The sequence below is a fragment of the Homo sapiens genome, chromosome 5 (genome assembly GCF_000001405.40).
Source record: "Homo sapiens chromosome 5, GRCh38.p14 Primary Assembly".
In the NCBI taxonomy this organism is placed as follows: domain Eukaryota; kingdom Metazoa; phylum Chordata; class Mammalia; order Primates; family Hominidae; genus Homo; species Homo sapiens.
Genome location: NC_000005.10, coordinates 55,944,331 through 55,969,032, shown reverse-complemented (window position 1 = coordinate 55,969,032; position 24,702 = coordinate 55,944,331). Strand labels below are relative to the sequence as shown.

At 37.0% G+C, this 24,702-nt stretch overlaps 1 protein-coding gene across 10 annotated transcripts in view; it reads left to right on the top strand.

The window, feature by feature from the left end:
- Positions 1-24,702, top strand: part of IL6ST (interleukin 6 cytokine family signal transducer) — a 59,869-nt gene that overhangs the window by 25,931 nt on the left and 9,236 nt on the right. For 2 of the 10 annotated variants that reach the window (NM_001364276.2, NM_002184.4), the window contains exons 5-15: positions 637-757; positions 4,721-4,887; positions 5,527-5,681; positions 8,472-8,631; positions 11,742-11,824; positions 12,798-13,008; positions 14,041-14,223; positions 16,682-16,783; positions 16,958-17,104; positions 17,429-17,569; positions 21,444-21,540. In NM_001364276.2, coding sequence (NP_001351205.1) covers positions 637-757; positions 4,721-4,887; positions 5,527-5,681; positions 8,472-8,631; positions 11,742-11,824; positions 12,798-13,008; positions 14,041-14,223; positions 16,682-16,783; positions 16,958-17,104; positions 17,429-17,569; positions 21,444-21,540 — 1,567 coding nt within the window. Of the gene's footprint in view, positions 1-636; positions 758-4,720; positions 4,888-5,526; positions 5,682-8,471; positions 8,632-9,361; positions 9,408-11,741; positions 11,825-12,797; positions 13,009-14,040; positions 14,224-16,681; positions 16,784-16,957; positions 17,105-17,428; positions 17,570-20,050; positions 20,932-21,443; positions 21,541-24,702 lie in introns of all 10 variants that reach the window. The other 8 variants (NR_157112.2, NR_120480.2, NM_001364277.2 and 5 more) reach the window with 8 other exon arrangements.

Genomic DNA, 24,702 nt, shown 5'->3' with positions numbered 1-24,702 from the left:
TAGTAGAAATGGGGTTTCGCCATGTTGGCCAGGCTGGTCTCAAACTCCTGACCTCAGGTGATCCACTTGCCTCGGGCTCCCAAACTGCTGGGATTACAGGCGTGAGCCACTGTGCCTGGCCTTGGAGTAACAAAGTAAACAAAATAAACTTACTATGATCCAAAAGTGGGTTATCTAATTTGTGGATCACCCAGACTTTACTGTTTTGGCATTTGCTTTTCTTCCAACGAGTTTGGGAAAGCAATAAGAAGAGAAATATAAATGAATCATTTTGGCTTCTACTTAGTTGCCTCTTACAAACATATGTATATATTACTTTTAAAAATATACTTAATGGAGAAATCAGTTGATATTTTTTTCCAGTTATAAATGAAAGTTGATTTTACATAGAAAATTAATGTGAAACAAACCAGTTGATGACAGTTAGGATGGATGTATATATATTACTTCCTGAAAAGAAGTGTAAGAGTTGGGATAGAAAAGAAATTGTCATCAGCCTTTCATTGTGTCCATACTTTTTGCTTGGGTTTGATTTTTTTCATCTAATTTAGATCGCAAATGCCTTGGGTAGTATATAAATTGCATAATATTTGTGGATATAAAGCTTTCTGAAAGATGCTAATTAATCCCTTTTAGTGCCTCCAGAAAAACCTAAAAATTTGAGTTGCATTGTGAACGAGGGGAAGAAAATGAGGTGTGAGTGGGATGGTGGAAGGGAAACACACTTGGAGACAAACTTCACTTTAAAATCTGAATGGTACGTTATTTTAAATTTGTTTCATGTTAGATTTATTAAAGTTAGTCATTTTTGCTGGAATTTTTATTTTACCAAGTAATAATATTAAATGCTATTTTAAAACATTTAATTTTTTATTCTGTAACATTTCAAATATATGTAAAAGTAGAGGCCAGGCGCGGTGGCTCATGCCTGTAATCCCCCAGGCGCGGCGGCCCATGCCTGTAACTCCAGCACTTACGGAGGCTGAGGTGGGCAGATAACTTGAGGTCAGGAGTTCGAGACCAGCCTGGCCAACCAGAGCAAAACCCTGTCTCTACCAAAACTACAAAAATTAGCCAGGCATGGTGGCGGGTGCCTGTAATCCCAGTGACTCGGAGGTTGAGGCAGGAGAATCACTTAAATCCAGGAGGCGGAGGTTGCAGTGAGCCCGGATTGCACCACTACACTCCAGCCTGGGTAACAGAGTGAGACTCCATCTCAAAAAAAATAAATAAATAAAAAATAAAAGTAGAAAGAATAGTAGAATACCCATACATACCCATCACTCAGCTTCAACACTGGTCAGCTCATGACCAGTCTTATTTCAAAGGTACTCTTTGCCTATATTGTCTTGAAGAGAGAATCGCGGGCATCATATTTCATCCAAAGATATTTCAGTATGCGTCTCTAAAAGATGAGGACATTTTAAAAAAAAGCATAACAACATACCACTGTTACACTCAGATATAAAATATTACATTTTCAGTTAGTGTTGATTTCCCCTATGTCTCATGAATATGCCTATATGTATAATTTTTTTTACATTTGTTTCAGTCAAGATTCGAATAAGCTCCATACTTTGTGAATTTATGTCTTGTCTCTTAAATTATAGGTTCTATTTGTTCTTTTTTCTTACATTTCAGTTGTTAAACTGTTATACATTGTACATTGTTTAACATATTCCCTTGTCTTTTTTTTTTTTTTTTTTTTTTTTTTTTTTTTTTTGAGATGGAGTCTTGCTCTGTCACCTAGGCTGGAGTACAGTGGCATGATCTCTGCTCACTGCAACCTCCGCTTCCCAGGTTCAAGCAATTCTCCTGCCTCAGCCTCCTGAGTAGCTGGGATTACAGGCATGTGCCACCATGCCCAGCTAATTTTTTTCTATTTTTAATAGAGAGGGTTTCACCATGTTGGTCAGGCTGGTCTTGAACTCCTGACCTCGTGATCTGGCTGCCTCTGCCTCCCAGAGTGCTTAGATGATAGACGTGGCCACCGCGCCTGGCCCCCTTGTCTTTTTCTTTCCAAAAAATTGCTTTTAGATCTACAGATTTCATCAGATTTGGGTTTGATTTTTTTTTTTTCCCCAAAAAAATATTTTGTAGGAGTGATGTGTACTTCTGTCAGGAAAGACCAGATAATGTTTCACTGTTTTTCTTTTTTCTGATACTAAGATTGAGCAGTGGTTTCGGGTGTTGTCAGCCTTATTCCTTTATTTACTAAGTTTCCCATTTGTTTTTTCCAAACAGAAAAGTTGAAAGAGTTTTACAGTGAACACTCTTGCATACCCTAGATTCTACAATTAACATTTTACTATCTTTGCTTTATCACCTATTTATCTATGCATCCTTCTCTCCATCTCTCAATCTATCTCTTTTTTATGTATTTCATAGTGAGTTGCAGTCATTAATATACCTCACCCTTAATCACTTCAGTATTTCATAGTGAGTTACAGTCATTAATATACCTCATTCTTAATCACTTCAGTATTTACATGAACTAGAGTTCAGTATTATGTTTTTAAATAAAATTTACATATAGTGAAAACACAAATCTTAGTGTATCATTCAGTGAGTTTTGACAAGTACAGACACCTGTGTAACTCAATCAGTATCAAGACATAGAACATGACTAACACACCTAAAAAGTTCCTTCCTGCTCCTTCAGTCAATCCCAGCAAGTGCCCCACCCCATGAGCAACTACCTGTCTGATATTCTTCACCATAGATTATTTTTTCCTGTTACAGAATGTCTCATATAAATGGGATTATATAGTATATACTCTTCTGTGAAAAGTTTTATAACTCAACAGAATGTTTCCGAAATTTAATCATGTTGTTTTCCCACTAGTATTTCCCTTACAGCTTTGAGCAGTCATCAGTGATTATAATTTGTATATAAATTACAAAACTATGGTATTCTGTGTTTTGTTTTAGCTGAAATACTTAAAGAAAAACTTGCCTTTATCAACTGTGGTTTACCCTGAAGTACAGTTCAGATAGGAGAAGCAAGATAGGTTTAATATTTTTCCTTAATTACCAGTTTTATAATTAGTTGATTCCCTAGTATCCTCCAAAGGTAGAATAATGAGGGCTTTTCTTTCTCATTATAAATTTATATTTAAACATATTTGATATGTTTTAACTCATTATGGATTGTCCCATCTTTGATCAGTGGCAGTTTACTCAAATTGGCTCATTCATCCTTTTTTTTTTTTTTTTTTGAGACAGAGTTTTGCTCTTTTGACCAGGCTGTAGTGAAGTGGCGTGATCTCGGCTCACTGCCTCCCGAGTGGCTGGGATTATAGGCACCCACCACCCCGCCCGGCTCATTCATCGTCTTGACACAACTTCCTTAGCCTTTGATAGCTCTCTGATATAACATGCTTTTACAGGGTCATCATGTATTTCCTCACCCAGACCTGGAATCAACCTTTTCCCAAAACTCTCTGGTTTCATTTAGTGTGAAATAATATTTACAGACTACAATCTGGGTGCTACAGGAATTCATCACTACTGGTTTGTCATAGTTTTTAGATTTTTTAGATTTTTTCAGTCGAAAGAGCTAGGACATGTTTTGTGGTTTGAGATATAATACTATCTTTTAAAAATACAAATTCATACTGATATTTTCAGTTTAAAATTAGGGCTATAGGTTTTTACATAATTATATTTACCTGACGTCTACATCTTCTTTCTTATGAACTGAAAAACATAGTTGACAACAACACTAACATAATTATTCATTTGCTTTATCCTACGGTTAATACAGCAGCTGCAGAATAATAACAACAGTATTAGCACCAACAAAATGATTACCAAGAATGATTTTAAGATTGTTTTTCTCTGTGAAGGATGTGTAATAGTCAGATTACTGTGTTTTAATGTTACTTGGAATAGTTCTTTTCTATGTGGTTATACTACATACTCAGTACACAAGTTCATATGTTTCATTTTGCTTTTAATTTTTAGGAATTTTTCTTAATAATTATATAAAACAATCCAAAAAGTCAAATCTATTAATAGTATTAAGGCTTGTTCAGAAAAGTCTATATTCTATTCCTGAATCCTCTACCTTATTTCCTTCTCCTTAGAGGCTAACCATTTTTGTTTTGGTTCAATTTGGGGTTTGGTTTATCCTATTTTTAAAAACAGTGTTGTATATGAATATTTTTAATTGAGGCATAATTTATATAATTGTAAATAAATATAGTAATATTACTTGAAACTTTCCATGGTGATAGAAATCAGAAAGTAGTTGCCTAAGTTTGACTAGAAAGAGGCTAAGAGATTTTAGCCCTAAGACTAAAGGCTAAGGGGTAATAGAAATTCTTACCCCTAACCTCCTGTCACCTTCTAGCATATTGTGCTTAAAGAAATTTGTGGTACAGTAAGGGTTCTGTTTTAGGAAAAAGAAAAAACAGCACTGGGATCACAAGGAAATAGATAATTTTTGGAGAGGAGTAAGTGGGGATGGAGCATAAAATTTTAAAGCACAATATTTTTAGACTACAAATTTGAAAATAATTTTATGTTTTAAGATATAGATCAAAGTTAATTTTAAAGAAAGGTTTATTTTTAAGAAATTTTGTTAGTGACCAGCAGTTATATTGCAAAGTTTGCTACAACAATCTAGGTCTCATCAAACTCTTTGCAAGTAATTTTTTTCACTCTAATTTTTTCAGATGTGTTTTTAATGACTGATTCTTCAATTTTTTGTATTTAGGGCAACACACAAGTTTGCTGATTGCAAAGCAAAACGTGACACCCCCACCTCATGCACTGTTGATTATTCTACTGTGTATTTTGTCAACATTGAAGTCTGGGTAGAAGCAGAGAATGCCCTTGGGAAGGTTACATCAGATCATATCAATTTTGATCCTGTATATAAAGGTAGTTATAAACCTGAATTTGAGAGTTTATTTGACACTGTAGTCGTTTACAAATTAAAGTAGTTTTTATATTTAGATTTTTTAAGATTTTAATGTAGATTTTTAGATTTTAATTAATGTAGTTTTTAGATTTTACTTTTTTAGATTTTAATTAATGTAGATTTTAGATTTTAATTAATGTAGAAACAAGCATTTATCTTAGTGATTTTTATGAAGTCATTTTATCAATAATATCAAATAGAATTTGGAAAAAGAAAAATATCCATAATCCAACCACACTTAACAGCTGTTTTCACTTTGAATGTTTTCTGTTCTCAAACATCTTACACCATTGTAATTACAGTATGTATGTTCCATTTTTATTCTTTTTTAAAAATTTGATATCATAAATATTTGTCTTTTGACATATGAACCTGAAGAGATTAACAAATGTAAATTAACAAGGAGAACTGAAGATTCTTTAGAAATCTTTTTTTTTCCATTATAAGGTATATAGCATAGCATAATTTTCAGAGAAATTAGTTCATTTGGTAAGGATAAATTATTGTAAAATAAAGGAAGGACAATATAAAGAGTATATTTGAGTTTGTATATGAAATTGGAAAACATAATAAACCTTAGGATTTATTTTATTTTTCAGTGAAGCCCAATCCGCCACATAATTTATCAGTGATCAACTCAGAGGAACTGTCTAGTATCTTAAAATTGACATGGACCAACCCAAGTATTAAGAGTGTTATAATACTAAAATATAACATTCAATATAGGACCAAAGATGCCTCAACTTGGAGCCAGGTAAATTGAAAGTTACCGTTTATTCAAATAGTCCTTCTTTCAACCCTCTAATCTTAAAAAGTTTCAGTCATTTTCTAAATGTCTTTAAGTTTCTGGTTATGTGAAATATTTTGCTTGATAACCTCTTCTGGGTTGTTATTTCAAACAAGGGGAATCAGGAAGATATCCAGATAGAAAATACAGCTTTGCTAAATACAGTAGCCTTTAAGTAAAACATGAAAATGATATAGGGTGATAGGAAATGGCTTTTTTTTTTTTTTCTTCTAGAGACAGGGTCTCCATTTGCCCAGGCCGCTGGCTCACTGCAATTTTGAACTCGAGCTTAAGTGATCCTCCTGCCTTAGTCTCACTACAGGTGTGCACCACCACACCTGGCTTTTTAAAATTATTATTATTTTTTGTGGAGATGGAGTCTCGCCGTGTTGCCCAGGATGGTCTCAAACTCCTGGCCTTAAGCGATTCTCCTACCTTGGCCTCCCAAAATGCTGGGATTACAGATGTGAGCTACCACTACCAGCCTAGAAATGGCATTTTTGATGGGTGTTACAAAGAATACAAGTAATAAAGCAAATTAAGTAGAGGAGCAAAAATAAAGAGATTATAAGGATAAGGTAGCTAGTGTAGGGATTGGTGTGCTGCAGTCCACCAAAATCAGCCTGTGACTTGTTTTTGTAAATAAAGTTTTACTGGAACACAGCCACACTCATTTCTTTACATATTGTCTCTATTCTACAGTGGAAGAGTTGAGTAGTTGCAAAAAGAGTCTCTGGCCCACAAGCCTAAAATATTAGTAAATATTTTATCTACCTTTTTATAGAAAGTTTGCCAACCACTGAGGTAGAGGAAGGGATTGATAGGGAGCTTGTAAGACTGAAAATGATAGTATACCCAAAGATGATGCTACCAGCAAAAGAAATACTTGGAGCTTTTAAAAAGGCTATCACCATAGCATTCAGCTATCCATACTCTTCTCTGTTTTGATTCCATTTATCACAAACAGTATGTCTTTGCTTTTGTTGCTCTGGTCACAGTGAGCTTGTTAGGGAATTGGGCTAATGACTTTACTACTTCTCTCCTTACCCCACTTATCTAAAGTGCTCAGAATACAATCAGAAAAAGCAATAAAACAAAATTGGATTAATGCTTCATGTTGTACAGAGAATATACATACCTGAAGTTCTTCAAAATGTGGTATTAAGTATAGAATCTTAATTCAGTGCTACAAAAAAGACTGATGTTTATTTTGTATCTAATACTAAATTATCAGAGTAATATGACCAGTTATTTATCTGTATTTAATCTCCTCTTTTTTTCTGAAAGCCAAGTTTAAAAGCCAGGAAAACTTTTGTTTTTCTTGATTGGGCTGGATATCTTCCTTTTGCCTGTCCACATCTACGCTCTACCCTTCTCTTTGTTGTGTCATGCTGACCTGTATAGATTTCATCTGTGGGTTTCCATTCTTTCTAGCTTCCTTGTGACTGTGGTTAATGGAAGGAAGGGACTAGGCAGGAGAGAAGACAGAAGAAAAGTGAAATTGGCATGTTGATTTTCCCTGCTTCCTTCCAGGAACTGGCTGTCTTTTTTTTTTTTTTTGAGATGGAGTTTAGCTCTTGTTGCCCAGGCTGGAGTGTAATGGCATGATCTTGGCTTACTGCAACTTCCACCTCCCTAGTTCAAGCGATTCTTCTGCCTCAGACTCCCGAGTAGCTGGGATTACAGGTGTGTGCCACCATGCCCAGCTAATTTTTGTGTTTTTAGTAGAGATGGGGTTTCACCATGTTGGCCAGGTTGGTCTCGAACTCCAGACCTCAGGTGATCCACCTACTTCAGTCTCCCAAAGTGCTGGGATTACAAGCGTGAGCCACCGCACCCAGCCGGCTGTCTTTCAACTTAGGGTCACTACCTGTCAAGACAGCCCTCTCTAGCTGACCGGCTTCTTTCAGGTTCTGGTACTTCCCCTCATCCCTTTGGGCCTAGAGGTAGAAACAGCTCTAAGCCCCAGAGTACTAACTGCACTGTCTAAGGATTCCATATACTCTGCATGTAGTCCCTTTATGAAGCCCTCCTTGAATTATTCTAAATGGAGTGTGCCATCTGTTTCCTGCAGAAATCCTAAGTTATATTACAGGCCCTGTGGAAGAAATAAAGGGAAAAAAGGAAAGATAATAGATGTTTCCATACTTCTAAAACCAAATAACTTTACTGATTTGGACTGCTTTTTAACTTACACTTATTTCTCTCCAGAGGTTGAGTTTAATGTATTAGTCTTGTGTCAATAAAATAGTTTCAAGAGGCTGAGGCAATAGAATCACTTGAACCTGGGAGGCGGAGGTTGCAGTGAGCTGAGATCGCGCCATTGCACCATTGAGCTCCAGCCTGGGCGACAGAGGGAGACTCTGTCTCAAAAATAAATAGTTTCTAGGCTGAGCGCAGTGGCTCACATCTGTAATCCTGGCACTTTGGGAGGCCGAGGCAAGTGGATTGCTTGAGGTCAGGAGTTACAGACCAGCCCGGCCAACATGGTGAATCTTGTTGATACTAAAAAAGTACAGAAATTAGCTGAGAGTGGTGGCGGGCACCTGTAATCCCAGCCACTCAGGAGGCTGAGGCAGGAGAATCGCTTGAACCTGGGAGAGGTAGAGGTTGTGTTGAGCCAAGATCGCACCACTGCACTCCAACCTGGGCAACAGAGCAAGGCTGTGCCTCAAAAAAAAAAGTTTCTGAATTTTAACACAATTTAGAAGACCTTACTAATTGAGGTTTTCTGTTGTTTGGTTTGCTTTGTTTCAGATTCCTCCTGAAGACACAGCATCCACCCGATCTTCATTCACTGTCCAAGACCTTAAACCTTTTACAGAATATGTGTTTAGGATTCGCTGTATGAAGGAAGATGGTAAGGGATACTGGAGTGACTGGAGTGAAGAAGCAAGTGGGATCACCTATGAAGATAGTAAGTACATAAGTATATGAAGAAGTAAAGCTATTGGAATTCCAGATGTGAACTGGTTCTGGTTTTAATAATATAGCCTCATTGCTTCTTAGTTTGTGATCATTTTATTCAAACTGCAGTATTTTAACGTTTTAATTTTTAAGGACATTAAGATGTAAAATTGAATATGGATCATTGATAGTATAAGTCTATTTGATACCTAATTAAATTATCATGGAGGCCAGATGCGGTGGCTCACACCTGTAATCCCAGTACTTTGGGAGGCCGAGGTGGGCGGATCACAAGGTCAGGAGTTTGAGACCAGCCTGGCCAATATGGTGAAACCCCTTCTCTATTAAAAATACAAAAATTAGCCGGGCGTGGTGGTGGGCGCCTGTAGTCCCAGCTACTCGGGAGGCTGAGGCAGGAGAATCGCTTGAACCCAGGAGGTGGAGGTTGCAGTGAGCCAAGGTCACGCCACTGCACTTCAGCCTGGGTGACAGAACGAGACTCCGTCTCAAAAAAAAAAAAAATTCATCATGGAATGGTGACTTAGATACATCTATCAGAAAACCGTTAACTGTTGATAAGTCTAGAACATTTTATTCAAGGAGACTTGTCCAGAGATACTCCTAACTAGAGAATCATATCCTGAATCATTAAAACCACACTGTCTAGCAAACTACACCTTAGATCCCCACTATCAAAAATATACTTGTATTATACCTTTTATTCATTTTTTTTCTAATAGCACTTGATAAGCCCCTGGGAAGCGGTTGATCCTGGAATTTTGGTTGGTTAGTTTTTATTTTCCTTTTTTCTCCTATAGATAATATATATGATATAGAATAAAAAAGGCACAAAAAGAGTGTACAGTCTAAAGTAAGATCCTCACTGCAAAGCATCTGATGTTACTAAGTTCAAGAAATAATCCCGTGGCATAGATTTTTCATTTTGAGACCTTCCTATCACAGACTCATCTCTTAGTTATCAATGGCAGTAGCTGTGGCTGAAAAAATCCCCTACCACCTATATCCCTTTACTTCCAGCTCTTCTAGAGGTTTAGGTCATGTGACTTGAGAACATCAAAGGCAGAAAAGTACCCTTCTGCCCTAAGATTTCTCTCATAAATGCTGAGAAAGAAATCAATTTTGCTATTGCTGCTGTGGGAGTCCTCAGCCAGATTGCTTTGTCTTGACCAGGAATTCTTAAAATGAGATACATGGGGAGGAGTTCATGAAATAGTTTAAAATGTAGGTAAAATATTGTGGTTAGTGCCTGTGTGCATTTTTAATGGACAAGTGTACATAATCTTTGTCAAATCAATGCGTGAATGAAGTCTCTGGGTTCCCTTTATGTTAGGAAATATTTCCAGCTCATAATTTTTTTTTAATAATTTCATGTTCTTTATTCTGTTTGAGTGCTGCACTGTACTCATGTGAATTTATCTATTTTAACTTCTGTACCAGCAGCCTTTTTCCCAGCCTTCCTGGTCTGCCTGTCCTATCCTTTCTGTTTTGCTGTCTGTAATTGCCTCTTCATGATTAACATATCAGTACTTAAATTTTTTTTTTTTTTTTTTTGGAAATAGTGCCTCACTCTATTGCCCAGGCTGGAGTGCAGTGGCATGAACACGGCTCGCTGCAGCCTCTACCTCCAAGGCTGAAGCGATCCTCATGCCTCAGCCCCCAACATAGCTGGGACTATAGGCACGTGTCACCATGCCCAGCAAATTTTTGTATTTTTTTGTGGAGACAAGGTTTTGTCATGGTGCCCAGGCTGGTCTTGAACTACTGAACTGAAGTGAACCACATCCCTCGGCCTCCCAAAGTGCTGGGATCGCAGGCACGAGCCACCACACCCAGCCTTACTGCTTAGATTTTATTCAACTCCTGTCTTATTCTACTGACTACCATATCTTGTTATTATATTCATAAAAATTTTGAGAAATCAGTTAATGCCATTGATTTTTTTAAGACAAACTTTTTACAAAAAGCTTAACAATGATAAGTAAAAATGAAATGTCAGTTGATATTACTTATTGCTAAAAAATTAAAAATTATATGCTACATTTAATGGCTATTATAAGTTTTGAAAAATTAATACTACAGGTATTTTTAAAACCGAATTTAATTACTGGTATTTAACAATTTATGTTTTGGCTGGGTATGGTGGCCAAACCCCAGCTACTTGGGTTGCTGAGGTGGGAGGATCACCTGAGCCTAGGAGCTGAAGGTTATAGTGCACTATAGTCATCCACTGCACTCCAGCCTGGGCAACAGAGCGAGACACTGTCTCTGGAAAAAAACCACTATGTTTTATGGATTGCTTTTTCAGATGGTTAGTGATTATCACAACAATACTGTGAATTTGTTTTTATTACATCCCATCACTCTCAATCATCCTTATATAAAGTAATAAACTTATTTTAGTACATTTATCTTAATTTGTTTTATTATTCTTGTGAATATTTAGGAGTAAGCAATGTGTTTAAATAGATTTTCCAGTTTGATTTTCAGCGATAAGTAGTATCAACTTATGTTTATTTCATTTTTATTTTTTACTGTTAAAAACTTTATTTTAAAAAGTTTTTTTCTTTAAAAAATCATATTAACTAATTTTTCAAAATTTTTATAAATATAATTAGAAGACCTGGTATTTAATAGAATAAGAGAGGAGTTGAATAAAATCTAAGCAGTGATGTGTTGATCATGAAGAGGCAATTACAGATGACAAAACAGAAGTGAGGACAGGCAGACCAGGAAGGCTGGGAAAAGGCTGCTGGTACAGGAGATTCAAGTAGATAAATACAGTGCCAGCACACAAACAGAATAAAGAACATGAAGTTATAAGAAAGAGTGATGCCTCTTTAGTTGTTGCTCAGAATACATTTTTACCTTTACAATTTTGAGGTTAGAAAAGAGTTCCAGTATAATTGATCAGGCTATCACCCTGACTAAAGGAAGAGCCAGGTGTTTTGTGCTGGGTTGGGAAAATGCTGGTATAAAGAGGTAGAGACACCATGCAATTGGAGGGCAAGAGTATTAAGAACAAAGTAAAAGAATAATTTGCAGAATTTTATTTTACTGTTAAAACCTTTTTATTTTAAGGAGTTTATGTCTTTTCTTTAGGACCATCTAAAGCACCAAGTTTCTGGTATAAAATAGATCCATCCCATACTCAAGGCTACAGAACTGTACAACTCGTGTGGAAGGTAAAAAATCACATTTATATTTTATCTCTTATAAATCTTTTTTTTTTTTTTTGAAACCGAGTCTCGCTCCATTGCCAGGCAGGAGTGTAGTGGCGTGATCTTGGCTCACTGCAACCTCTGCCTCCCAGGTTCAAGTGATTCTCCTGCCTCAGCCTCCTGAGTAGCTGGGACTACAGGTGTGCGCCACCACGCCCCGCTAATTTTTGTATTTTTAGCAGAGACAGGGTTTCACCACGGTGGCCAGGATGATCTTGATCTCTTGACCTCATGTTCTGCCTGCCTCGGCCTCCCAAAGTACTGGGATTACAGGCATGAGCCACCGCGCCCAGCCCTTATAAATACATTTTGTATGGTATTATGAATGGAGGTCTTTTAAATAGATAAATTTTTATTCATTTTAATAGCAAAGCATTTGATTACTATTTTTACTAAATAGAAAGGTAATGCTTTATATGTATTAATATTATATAGAAGTCAGGTTCATAAACTACAAATAATACCTTATAGGTATTTAAGTACAGTTCTGTGAAAGTATAAGTTCTATAAGAAGAGGAATGTTGTTTTTGTACTTTGGAATTTTCCAGAGTAACTCAGAAAATAATAAAAGTTTGTGATAATCAAAATGTATGCTGGTAAGTGCATGAGTAGATCATACTAAAAAAGAAGGTAGAAAAATACTCAAGCATAAAATAAATAATTTAGACCTACATAGCCACAGTGCAGAATTGATACAGAACCAAAAGCTAACGGAATGATGCTACTTACCCTTTTTTAGTTGAGGTCATGCTTTTACTCTTCATTTAGTATGTACTAGTTTTATTTTAGAACCAAATTTAAAATGGAGATTGTGAATCCTTTCCAGTTAAATATTTAGAGATTTGACATAATGGCATGATTTGTGAATATGAAGAAAAACTGATTTTTTATTCAAGATTTATGAGATTATTTTTAAAAATAAACTATTTTATTACAGACATTGCCTCCTTTTGAAGCCAATGGAAAAATCTTGGATTATGAAGTGACTCTCACAAGATGGAAATCACATTTACAAAATTACACAGTTAATGCCACAAAACTGACAGTAAATCTCACAAATGATCGCTATCTAGCAACCCTAACAGTAAGAAATCTTGTTGGCAAATCAGATGCAGCTGTTTTAACTATCCCTGCCTGTGACTTTCAAGGTTTGTATCTGTGAGATGGAGCCTGACTCTTGGGTGGAAAAATGGTGGTTAGGTATGGACAGGGCTCCCATAAAAAACACAAGTTATCTAAGACTGTCTCCTCAGTATCAGGGATAATCACTTGTTTATTTTTTAATTTTTTAAATTTTATAAATAATGATTTTCTTTTTTTCAGAGACTGGGTCTCGCCAGGTTGCTCAGGCTGGTCTCGAACTCCTGAGCTCAAGCGATCTCCCCTGGCCTCCCAAAGTGCTGGGATTAACAGGCATATGCCACCAAACCCAGCTAGTGATCGCATTTTTAGGAATCAGTCAGCAGACAAATTTCATCAGGATGCAAGAACATTTCCATCACTACATGCTCACTTAAACTTCACAGTAAGCTACTTCATTCATTTAAGCATATTCTGATTACTTACCTGGTTTTTAAAATATTATTTCAAGATTTTGAGAACTTTGTATACATATGACTGAAACGTTTATCTGTAGCTTTATTCGTAGCTTTCAAAGAAGAAAAATTGCAATTACAAACCGAAAGCATTTGAAGAATTTAGGGAAAGCAAATTTTTTTTTTTCTTTTTGAGACAGTCTTGCTCTGTCGCCTAGGCTGGAGTGCAATGGCACGATCTCAGCCTCTGCCTCCTGGCTTCAAGCGATTCTTGTGCACCAGCCTCCCAAGTAGCTGGAATTAAAGGCACGCACCACAATGCCTGGCTAATTTTGTATTTTTAGTAGAGACGGGGTTTCACCGTGTTGGCCAGGCTGGTTTCGAACTCCTGATGTCAAGTGATCCACCTGCCTTGGCCTCGTAAAATGTTGGAATTACAGGAATGAGCCACAGTGCCCAGCGGGGAAGCAAAATCTAAGTTTAAAAATTGACTACTTTACCTGTAAGTTATAATAAAGTGCTTTTAGGCAAGGAAGTATATGCTACAAAAATTGATAAATCACATGTTTTGGAAATGACTGTAAAATATGGAAATTTCAAATTTGTTAATATTTATTATTTCAATATTCAAACTTTGTTTTAAAGCTACTCACCCTGTAATGGATCTTAAAGCATTCCCCAAAGATAACATGCTTTGGGTGGAATGGACTACTCCAAGGGAATCTGTAAAGAAATATATACTTGAGTGGTGTGTGTTATCAGATAAAGCACCCTGTATCACAGACTGGCAACAAGAAGATGGTACCGTGCATCGCACCTATTTAAGAGGTATACCTGGCTAGAAACATCTAAATTGATATCCTTTTTCTAACTCTTTAGGCAGCTTTTTCTTTTGCTTATAGTGTTTTGGTCCGTTGAAACGACTTCCAATTTATCATAGCCTCACTACTTACTAGATGTGTGACTTTCAGCAAGTCATACTTAACCTCTCTGAATTACAGTCTCTTTATGAACAGAGTGGGGTTAATACTTTCTTCTTTTTGTACCCCAATATGATTTTATCGTCAAGGGAAAACTCCTAAAACTATAGAGTATAGAGAAATATAAGAGTCCAACCTTTGCTGCTGATTAGTTATATGTTCTCTGTACCTCATCCTTCACATGAGAAAATAGTTTCCTAGAGCATCTGGATGACTTGTGTAATGTCTTAGAACCATCAGATAGAGGAAGCAGAACTAGAACTCAGATTTCCTTATGTCTTTCAATTGGAAGTAGTAACAAAGGACAGAAGTAATGAATCGTAGCGCTCCAGTCTGTGTGTTATGGTGCTGCTTAAGTGGTTATAAAGTGATACAACAACTTTGAAGAGAAAAAAACTCAGTTTATAGTCTTTTGTTGATAATTAATAATTAGAATTCAGCTGTGAATAATATGGTTAATTAGAGAAAAGCCCTAAGCAGAGAGATTCCTGCCATAAAGTTTTTGAGCTTTAGTCATAATACAGGCTGTTTGGACTTACATGTTATTAGTGTACAGTTTTAATAAGCTTGGTTATCTAGTTTACTGACTTTATCAAATTAAAAACATGGTGGAGCTTAGGAAGTCCTGAAACAGGCTGGAAATAACTATAGAAACTTCTTAAAAAAAAATAAATACAGGGTCTCACTCTGTTGCCTAGGCTAGAGTATGGTGGCATGATCATGGCTGACTGCAGCCTTCAACTCCCAGGCTGAAGTGACCCTTCTGCCTCATCCTCTGGAGTATCTGGGACTACAGGCACATGCTGCCACACTCAGCTAATTTTATTTTTTTGTAGAGAGGGAATCTCACTGTGTTGCAAAGGCTGATCTCCAACACCTGGCCTCAAGCGATTCTTTTACCTCAAACTCCCAAAGTGCTGGTATTACAGGCGTGAACCACTGCTCAGAGCCAATAGAAACTTTTTAAAGCAGCAGCCGATGCGGTGGCTCACGCCTGTAATTCCAGCACTTTGGGAGGCTGAGGCGGGCAAATCACCTGAGGTCGGGAGTTCGAGACCAGCCTGACCAATGTGGATAAACTCCGTCTCTACTAAAACAAAATCAGCTAGGCGTGGTGGCACATGCCTGTAATCCCAGCCATTTGGGAGGCTGAGGCTGGAGAATCTCTTGAACCCGGGAGGCGGAGGTTGCAGTGAGCCAAGATCATGCCATTGCACTCCAGCCTGAACAACAAGAACGAAACTCCATCTCAAAAAAAATAGAAGCTAGCATAAGTTGTGGAGACATTAAGTTTGGGTAGGTAGTCGTATGTTGCTCAGTAACCCTGAAAGCATCACATTAGAGTAGAATATAAAAATTGTTCATTTTTTGGTAATATTGAATCATTAAGAAAAGGTAAAATCTGTTTAAGAAGGTAAAGGAGCATGTAACTTCATGAGTAATAGTTAAGGAATATACATTCTTATTGAAGGTATAAATTTCAATAAAACATTTTCTAATATGTACAGATAATATACTGTATAAATAAGAAAAATTTTAGTGGTGCATGCTAAAAAAGATAAAAATAAAGGAAGTTTGTTTTGGTTTTTGTTTTTTTGAGACAGAGTCTCACTCTGTCGCCCAGGCTGGAGTGCAGTGGTGCGATCTCGGCTCACTGCAAGCTCCGCCTCCTGGGTTCAAGTGATTCTCCTGCCACAGCCTCCCAAGCATCTGGGACTACAGGTGCCCACCACCATGCCCAGCTAATTTTTGTATTTTCAGTAAAGGGGGGTTTCACCATGTTGGCCATGCTGGTCTCAAACTCCTAACCTCAAGTGATCCTCCCACCTTAACCTCCCAAAGTGCTGGGATTACAGACGTGAGCCACAGCGCCTGGCCGAGGAAATTTTTTAAGATACCCTTTTTTCCAACTCGCAAACTAGGACCGTTAGTGCTTTCCCCTAGGTCTTACTGCTTTAGTCGTCTTGCTCCTTAGGCTGTTCTCTCTTGTAGGTAAGACATACAAAAATTGTCAGACTCTATAAAATCCAGAGTAATTTGAGATCATTGTTTTATAAATTCTAAATGTAAATACCATCATTGTTCTTAACAATGTATTTTTTATCCACTGCATTGGCAATACTTTTACAGACAGTTTTACCTGATTAAGCTTGAATCCAGTACACAAAAGACAATGCTTACTTAGAAAACTGCAGTTTTAAAAGAAAATTAAGTGGTCATGAAATTATAATGTAAAAATAAATTACGGTATTAACTTGACTTTTTCATTATGGAAAAACATGCTTAATCTGCTATTCTTGCTTTAGGGAACTTAGCAGAGAGCAAATGCTATTTGATAACAGTTACTCCAGTATATGCTGATGGACCAGGAAGCCCTGAATCCATAAAGGCATACCTTAAACAAGCTCGTAAGTCCAAACTCACTTCTTTGAAAAAAAAAGTTTAGGGCTTTGTATTAACAGAAACATTTTATCGCTTTTAAATAAAGATGTATCTCATTATGTTCAAATGATTTTATGACAAGGAAATTTTACTAGATTGTAAATGATTTTCAGTTAGCAAATGTGTTCACTCTGTTACAGCACCTTCCAAAGGACCTACTGTTCGGACAAAAAAAGTAGGGAAAAACGAAGCTGTCTTAGAGTGGGACCAACTTCCTGTTGATGTTCAGAATGGATTTATCAGAAATTATACTATATTTTATAGAACCATCATTGGAAATGAAACTGGTAATAAAACTGTATCAGTTATTAAGAATCAGTTATTTTTTCCTTAAGCTTTTAAGTACTAATTTAAGTCTGTTCTTCTTATACATCTTATAGTATATTGGCCTCAGGAGACACCTGAGAATTTGCCTTATGGTTACTTTCATGGATTTATTGAAAAAGTATTGTGTTGTGCTTTAGAACATAAAATTATGTCAGAACATTATAAAAGTTGTTTTCCAACAAAAATACTTCGCTTCTTTTTTAACACTTTCACAATGCCAAATATAGGCCAAATAAGCAAAAGCATTGAATAGTTGAATGAAGCACAGTTCTTATTTCTTCCAGCTGTGAATGTGGATTCTTCCCACACAGAATATACATTGTCCTCTTTGACTAGTGACACATTGTACATGGTACGAATGGCAGCATACACAGATGAAGGTGGGAAGGATGGTCCAGAATTCACTTTTACTACCCCAAAGTTTGGTAAGAAATAATGAAGTTTGGTTTTTTTTCTTTCTCAAACTTAGGTTAGAAATGAACTTAGTTTATGTGCTAAAATTGTGTTAAAAAGTACATCTTTGGATTCATGATGATTTTTATATTATCTGGCTTTGGTTGGTGGTTTCTTTATAGAAAGTGTTATTCCTCACCTTTTTGGTATTTTATTAACTGCTTCTGACTATATTCAGCTGTACTAAAAATCCTAAAAGAATTTGTGTATCTTTCCATGTGGGTTCATTTTTTTCACTGGTTTGGGTGTGTTCTTTCCTTCTCTATCCTCATTTCTTTCTTTTATTGAGAGATTACTTGAAGGACTAGTCCACTTTACAGTCTTCACTTCCGTACCTCCCACTCAGTATTTAACATACTGAAATTAGGGGTCCTACCCCACCCCTGCACTGAAACCTCTCTGGTGTCACTCAGAAGACCTCTTGATCATCATATGTACTGCATGCTTTTTAGTTTTCATCTTTTTTCTACTTTTTTTTTTTGGAGGCAGGGTCTTACTCTGTTGCCCAGGCTACAGTGGAGTGCAATGGCATGAACATGGCACACTGCAGCCTTGACCTCCTGGGCTCAAGTGATCCTCCTACCTCAGTTTCTCAAGTAGCTGGGACCAGTGCCACCACATCCAGCTAATTTTTTTTATAGAGATGGCTGGTCTCAAACTCCTGGGCTCAAGTGATCCTTCTGCCTTGGCCTCCTAAAGTGCTGGGATTATAGACATAAGCCACTGCCTCCAGCCTTTTCTGCATTTGACTCTGTTGGCCTTCCATCCTTGAAACTCCCTCCTCCCTTGGGTTTTCTAACCATACTTTTTCTGCTAGCACAGTCTCCTGAGTCTCCTTGTTCTTTGGTGTTTTCTTCTTCTTCTCCTTTTTTTGCTTTTTTTTTTTTTTTTTTTTTTTTTGAGACAGAGTCTCGCTCTGTCACCCAGGCTGGAGTGCAGTGGTGCGATCTCAGCTCACTGCAACCTCCACCTCCCAGGTTCAAGTGATTCTCCTACCTCAGCCTCCCACGTAGCTGGGGTAGAGGTGCCCACTACCATGCCTGGCTAATTTTTTGTATTTTTGTAGAGACGGGGTTTCACCATGTTGGCTGGGATGGTCTCGACCTCCTGACCTCAGGTGATCCACCTGCCTCGGCCTCCCAAAGTGCTGGGATTACAGGCATGAGCCACCGCACCCGGCCTCTTGACCCTGTTTTCTTACTTGCCTATTCAAACTCTGTCCATGGCTTTAGCCATCTTCTCTTTCCTTCCCAAATACATTTTCCCTCCCTCGTTCTATGCCAAAGCCATAAATTTAAATGTGATTACAATAAATGTATTTGTATATTTTTCTCTCACATAAGCTGAGTGTCAAGTCCTGTTGATTGTGCGTACCCTTTCATCATCATTTTCTTCAACTGCAAGCTCCTCATGCTAACTTCTCTTTTCTTAGTGCATTGCCCCCAGTGAGGTCTTCACCTCATCATCTGGCTCTTCTGTATCTTCCCTAAAGCAAACTTAACCAACATTCTTTCTTGCTCCCCCTACATTTTGAATCATTATAGAAAATTACCTTATTTTACCATAATTGTAACCCCCACCCCCAAGTGCCAGCCTAGTTAATGATAAGTAGTAAATTCCATGTGCCTTGTTGGTTGAATGCTTGCTGAATGAGGGAATAAATGAATGAGTGACTACATAAAATAAATGATAAAAGTTCCTGAGCTTTGCTGTTAGGGTCAGTAATGAATATAGTTTCTGGGATAAGGTTGGTCCCATGTGGTGGTATGTTAATAGGTATGTTATTTAAAATAAAACTTTATACCATAATCTTGAGAAAAATTAAAAAATAAACTTAAAAATGTATATTTTATGTATTTCTGTGGAGACCAGCCATCTCTACAGAGCTTTGTATATATGTATGTGTGTGTGTACACACACACATAAAAGCCCATATGTATATTTTTTGTTTGTTTGTTTTTGAGACAGAGTCTTGCTCTGTCTCCCAGGCTGGAGTGCAGTGGTGCAGTCATAGCTCACTGCAACCTCAAATTCCTGGGCTCAAGCAATCCTCCTGCCTCAGCCTCCCAAGTAACTAAGACTGCTGGTAGGCACCACCATGCCTGGCTAGTTAAAACAATTTTTTTGGTAGAGATGGGATCTCGCTGTGTTGCCCAGGCTGGTTTTGAACTCCTGGCCTCAGTCCTCCTGCCTTAGCCTCCCAGAGTGCCGGATTACAGGTATGAGCCACCATGCTCAGCCTAAAATTTTTTTATTACATAGGTGTTCATTATAGGGAATTTAGACTGTACAGTAAAATGTAGAGAGGAAGAAAAATTAGTCCTAGTCCCTTACCCCAAAATAACATATTTGTGTATCCTTTTAGTGTCTTCTTTGTATATATTTTTTTCCTAAAATTAAATTATACTTAGTATTATTTTATAACCTACCTTTTTTCAATTCTCTATCTGTAGTCTCATGGATCCATTATGGCTTCTTCACATGGCTTGAGTCTTGCCAACGAGGACCTTACAGCTTAGTTGAAGAAATTTTGCATAAGTAAATCAGAAAAAGGAGAACCTGTGGACTATGTAGACAGTAAATAGAGTAGGAATTTAAATATACCAGTAGTGGATAATTTTACCTTCAAAGGTTTTATGAAGAAGAAAATACTTGAGCCTTGAGTTAGTATGTGGACAAATAGGAAGAAGGTGGCATCTTAGAGAGCAGCATGAGCAAAGGCACAGGCTTGAAAACATAAAAGCAGATGTTTAATAAAGCAAAGTTTCTGCCTAAATTAGATTTGGCATTTTATATATATATACACACATACATACCCATATCAATATATATATACACACATATATCAATATATACACACATAAATATATATACATACACCCATATATATATATATATGATGCTTAGCATTTAAGAGTTAATATTTGCCAACCCATAGTTTATTCTCAAGCATTTAACTGATTTCTTGATTTCTACTGAGCTTCATAGGATGTTAGTTACTTACAAAGGGATATGTGTGGTGGAAGGATAAAATTAAGTGAATAGTATATGGCTGCAATATTACTTTCATACATTTTTTACTGTAAAAGACTAAGTAAAATTCAAAATTAATCAGGACAGTCATTTAAAAAATCTCCAATGTTAATTATCCCAATTAGTGATTAATTTGATGAACAAGTCCTCTTTTAAATGCAGATGAGGATTTGTGTGGTATTTAGGGATCTTAGGCTTGTTTACTTTTTAGTTTATTCCTACTCGTGCCACTCCTCATGCCCATTGAGCAGCTCCTAAAGTTCTTAGCCCTGTACCAGCTATATCCTCCTTTTGAAAAATGGTAAATAACTCTTAAAACTTCTGAGAGTTGCATTTTTATTTTTTAGAAGGTTAAATGTGTAGTTCAATTATGTTTTTATAGCTTTTCCATTTTACCCAGTATTTATATTTGTTCTGACATAATTTCTCTGTTATACAGTATTAGAACTCAGAGATAAACTTTTACTAAGATTCTACCAAATGCAGATCATAAATGTTACAAATGGTTATGTTTGAAAGCTCTAACCCAGTAGATTACCCGATACACTGATCATTTTTATCCCCCAACCAACATATATTTTATGCTATGCGGCCAGGTTAATGTATAAGACATAAATGGTTGGGATGTGATTTACCAAAGAGAGAAGAGGGTAAAAATCATCAAGTCTGAAGAGACCTTGAAAAATAATTAGGATTGTATTTTATCTTTTCAACAGTAAGTCTGGTTGGGAAGTTGTATTATGTCTTCTTAGTTCATATGTCAACATTATTTCCCATCACACCTCTTTTTTTTTTTTTTTTTTTTTTTTTAAGCTCAAGGAGAAATTGAAGCCATAGTCGTGCCTGTTTGCTTAGCATTCCTATTGACAACTCTTCTGGGAGTGCTGTTCTGCTTTAATAAGCGAGACCTGTAAGTAACTTTATTCATATTTTTGCATTTTCCCCCAGCTTTATTGAGCTGAATTTACATGCAATAAAATTTATCCATTTTAAGTGTACAGTTTGATGAATTTTTGTAATTACATACAGATGTATAACTACCACCATAATCACAATATAGAACATTTTCATCACTTTTATAAAGCTTCCTTGTTCTCCTTTGTAATCTGTCTTCTTCTCAGCCCAACCCCAGGCAGTCATTGATCTGCTTTTCTGTAACTGTAGTTTTGCCTTTTCTAGAATTTTTATTTATCTATCTATTTTGAGACAGAGTTTCACTCTTGTTGCCCAGGATGGAGTGCAGTGGTGCGATCTCAGTTCACTACAACCTCTGCCTCCCTGGTTCAGACTCCTGCCTCAGCCTTCAAAGTAGCTAGGATTACAGGCGCCCACCACCACACCCAGCTAATTTTTTGTATTTTTAGTAGAGATGGGGTATCACCATGTTGGCCAGGCTGGTCTCGAACTCCTGACCTCAGGGGATCCACCCTCAGCCTCCCAAAGTGCTGGGATTACAGGTGTGAGCCACGGCCAAGAATTTTATATAAATAGAATCACATAGCGTGTAGTCTTTTGCGTATGTCTTTTACATAATATTTTTGAGATTCATCCATGATGTTGCATATACTTCTCCCTTTTTTTTTTTTTGAGATGGAGTCTCACTCTGTTCCCTTACTGGAGTACAGTGGCATGATCTTGGCTCACTGCAACCTCTACCTCCTGAGTTCAGGTGATTCTCCTGCCTCAGCCTCTTGAGTAACTGGGATTACAGGCACTTGCCACCATGCCCAGCTAATTTTTGTATTTACAGTTGAGACGGAGTTTCATCATGTTGGCCAGGCTGGTCTCGAACTCCGGACCTCAAGTGATCCACCCACCTTGGCTTCCCAAAAGTGCTGGGATTACAGGCATGAGTCACCACACCTGGCCTACCTTTTTCCTTTTTATTGCTGAACAGTATTCTGTAGTATGGATATATCAAAACTTAGACTGATCTGTTATGGAAGTTTAGGTTGTTTCTAATTTTTAGCTATTATAAATAATGTTGCTATGAATATTCACATACAAAACTGTGCGAGCATATGTTTTCCTTTATCTTGAACAAATAATAGGAGTGAGAGTGCTGGGTCATATGGTAAGTATATGTTCAACTTTATAAGAAACTGCCAAACTTTTTCAGAGTGGCTACACCATCTTGGATTGCCTCCAGCAGTGTTCCATATTATCACCAACACTTAGTGCTGTCAGACTTCTTTCATTCTAGTGGGTGTGTAGTACTATATCGTTTTAATTTTCATTTCTCCGATGACTAGTAATGGATCTTTTCATGTGTCACTTACATATTTTCTTTTGTGATGTGTCTATTGAAATCTTTTACCCATTTTCAAATTGGGTTATTTTGTTTATAATTGAGCTATAAGAGTGCTTTATATGTTCTGGTTACAACATTGTTAAATACGTTTTGCAAACTTTTGTCCCAGTCTGTGCTTTGTTTTTTTGTCTTAACTGTGGCTTTAGAAAAGCAGAAGTTTTACGCCTGTAATCCCACCACTTTGGGAGGTCAAGGCGGGCGGCTCACAAGGTCAGGAGATTGAGGCCATCCTGGCTAACACAGTGGCTAACATCTCTACTAAAAATACAAAAACTTAGCCGGGCATGGTGGCACACGTCAGTAATCCCAGCTACTCGGGAGGCTGAGGCAGGAGAATTGCTTGAACCCAGGAGGCATGGGTTGCAGTGAGCCAAGATCACATCACTGCACTCCAACCTGGGTGACAGAGTGTCTGAAAAAAAAAAAAAAAAAAAAAAAAAAAAGCATAAGTTTTTTATTTTGATGAAGTTCATTTTATCAGTTTTTTTTCTGTGGTTCCTGAGTTTTGTGTCCTGCCAAACACAGTATCAAAATATTTTCTCATGTTTTCTTCCATAAGTTCAATAGTTTCAGCTCTTAGTCTATGATCCATTTCAGGTTATTTTTGTGCATGGTGTGAGGTCAGGGTCAAGGTTCATTTTGTTCCTTCAGATGTCTAATTCCATTGTCATTTATTTTGAAAAGAGTGTCTTTTCCCCATTGAATTGCTTTGGTACCTTTGCCAAAAGCAATTGTCTTTATAAGTCTGTATCTATTTCCATACTCTCACTTCTGTTTCATAAATGTATATATGTCCGTTCTTATGCCAATACCACATTGCCTTGATGAGTATAGCTCTATAGTAAATTTTGAAAATAGGTAGAATTCTTCCAGTGTGTTCTTTTTTTAAAGAAGTTATTTTGGCTAGGTTCTTTGCCTTTTCATATACATTTTAATTCAGCTTGTCAACTTTTTTAAAACTATAGTTTTGATTGGGATTTTATTGAATCTATAGGTCAGATTTAATTGAATCTATAGGAGAGAACTGCAGTCTTTTTTTTTTTTTTTTTTTGATTTAATTCCTCAGCTAAAACAGCGGAAGAGGTGATTTATTATATGGTTGTTACACTCGGCCACAAATAAACACAGAAATAGTCCAGAATGTCACAGGTCCAGGGCAGAGGACCAACATGGGCATTTTGTTTTTGAGCAAGGTGGGTCTCAGAGGTGATCGGCGATCAGAGGGCGATGAAGTTCTAGATCCATTGAGACAAGCTCTAGACAGTAGCATGCAGTCCCACAACTTGTACCAGCATCCCCAGCGTCTGGCATTCCATGTTTCTGCTCCTGTGGCCTCCACGGTGCAACAAGCTAGCGGTTTACTTGGACCTCTGCCTCATCTTTCTTCTTTTGCGCTTCAGCCTGCGCATTCGCTTCTTCCTCCACTTGGCTCTCATGGCGCCGAGGTTTCCAAAAAAATGGCGCTAAGGCCGAGAGAGAACTGCAGTCTTAACGCTACTGAGTCTTTCAATCCGTGAACCTGGTTTATTTCTTTATTTATTTGGGTTTTGTTTAATTTACTTTTGCAGTGTTTTGTAGTTTTCAGTAGACAGGCCTTGCATAACTTTTTTTGAATTCATGACAAAAGTATTTTTTGTTATTATAAATGAAATGTTTAAAAATATTTTCTAATTCTTAGTATATAGAAATGCAATTGATTTTTTAAAATATATTCATCATGTATACTGAGACTTTGATAAATTCATTTATTAGTAGCTTTTT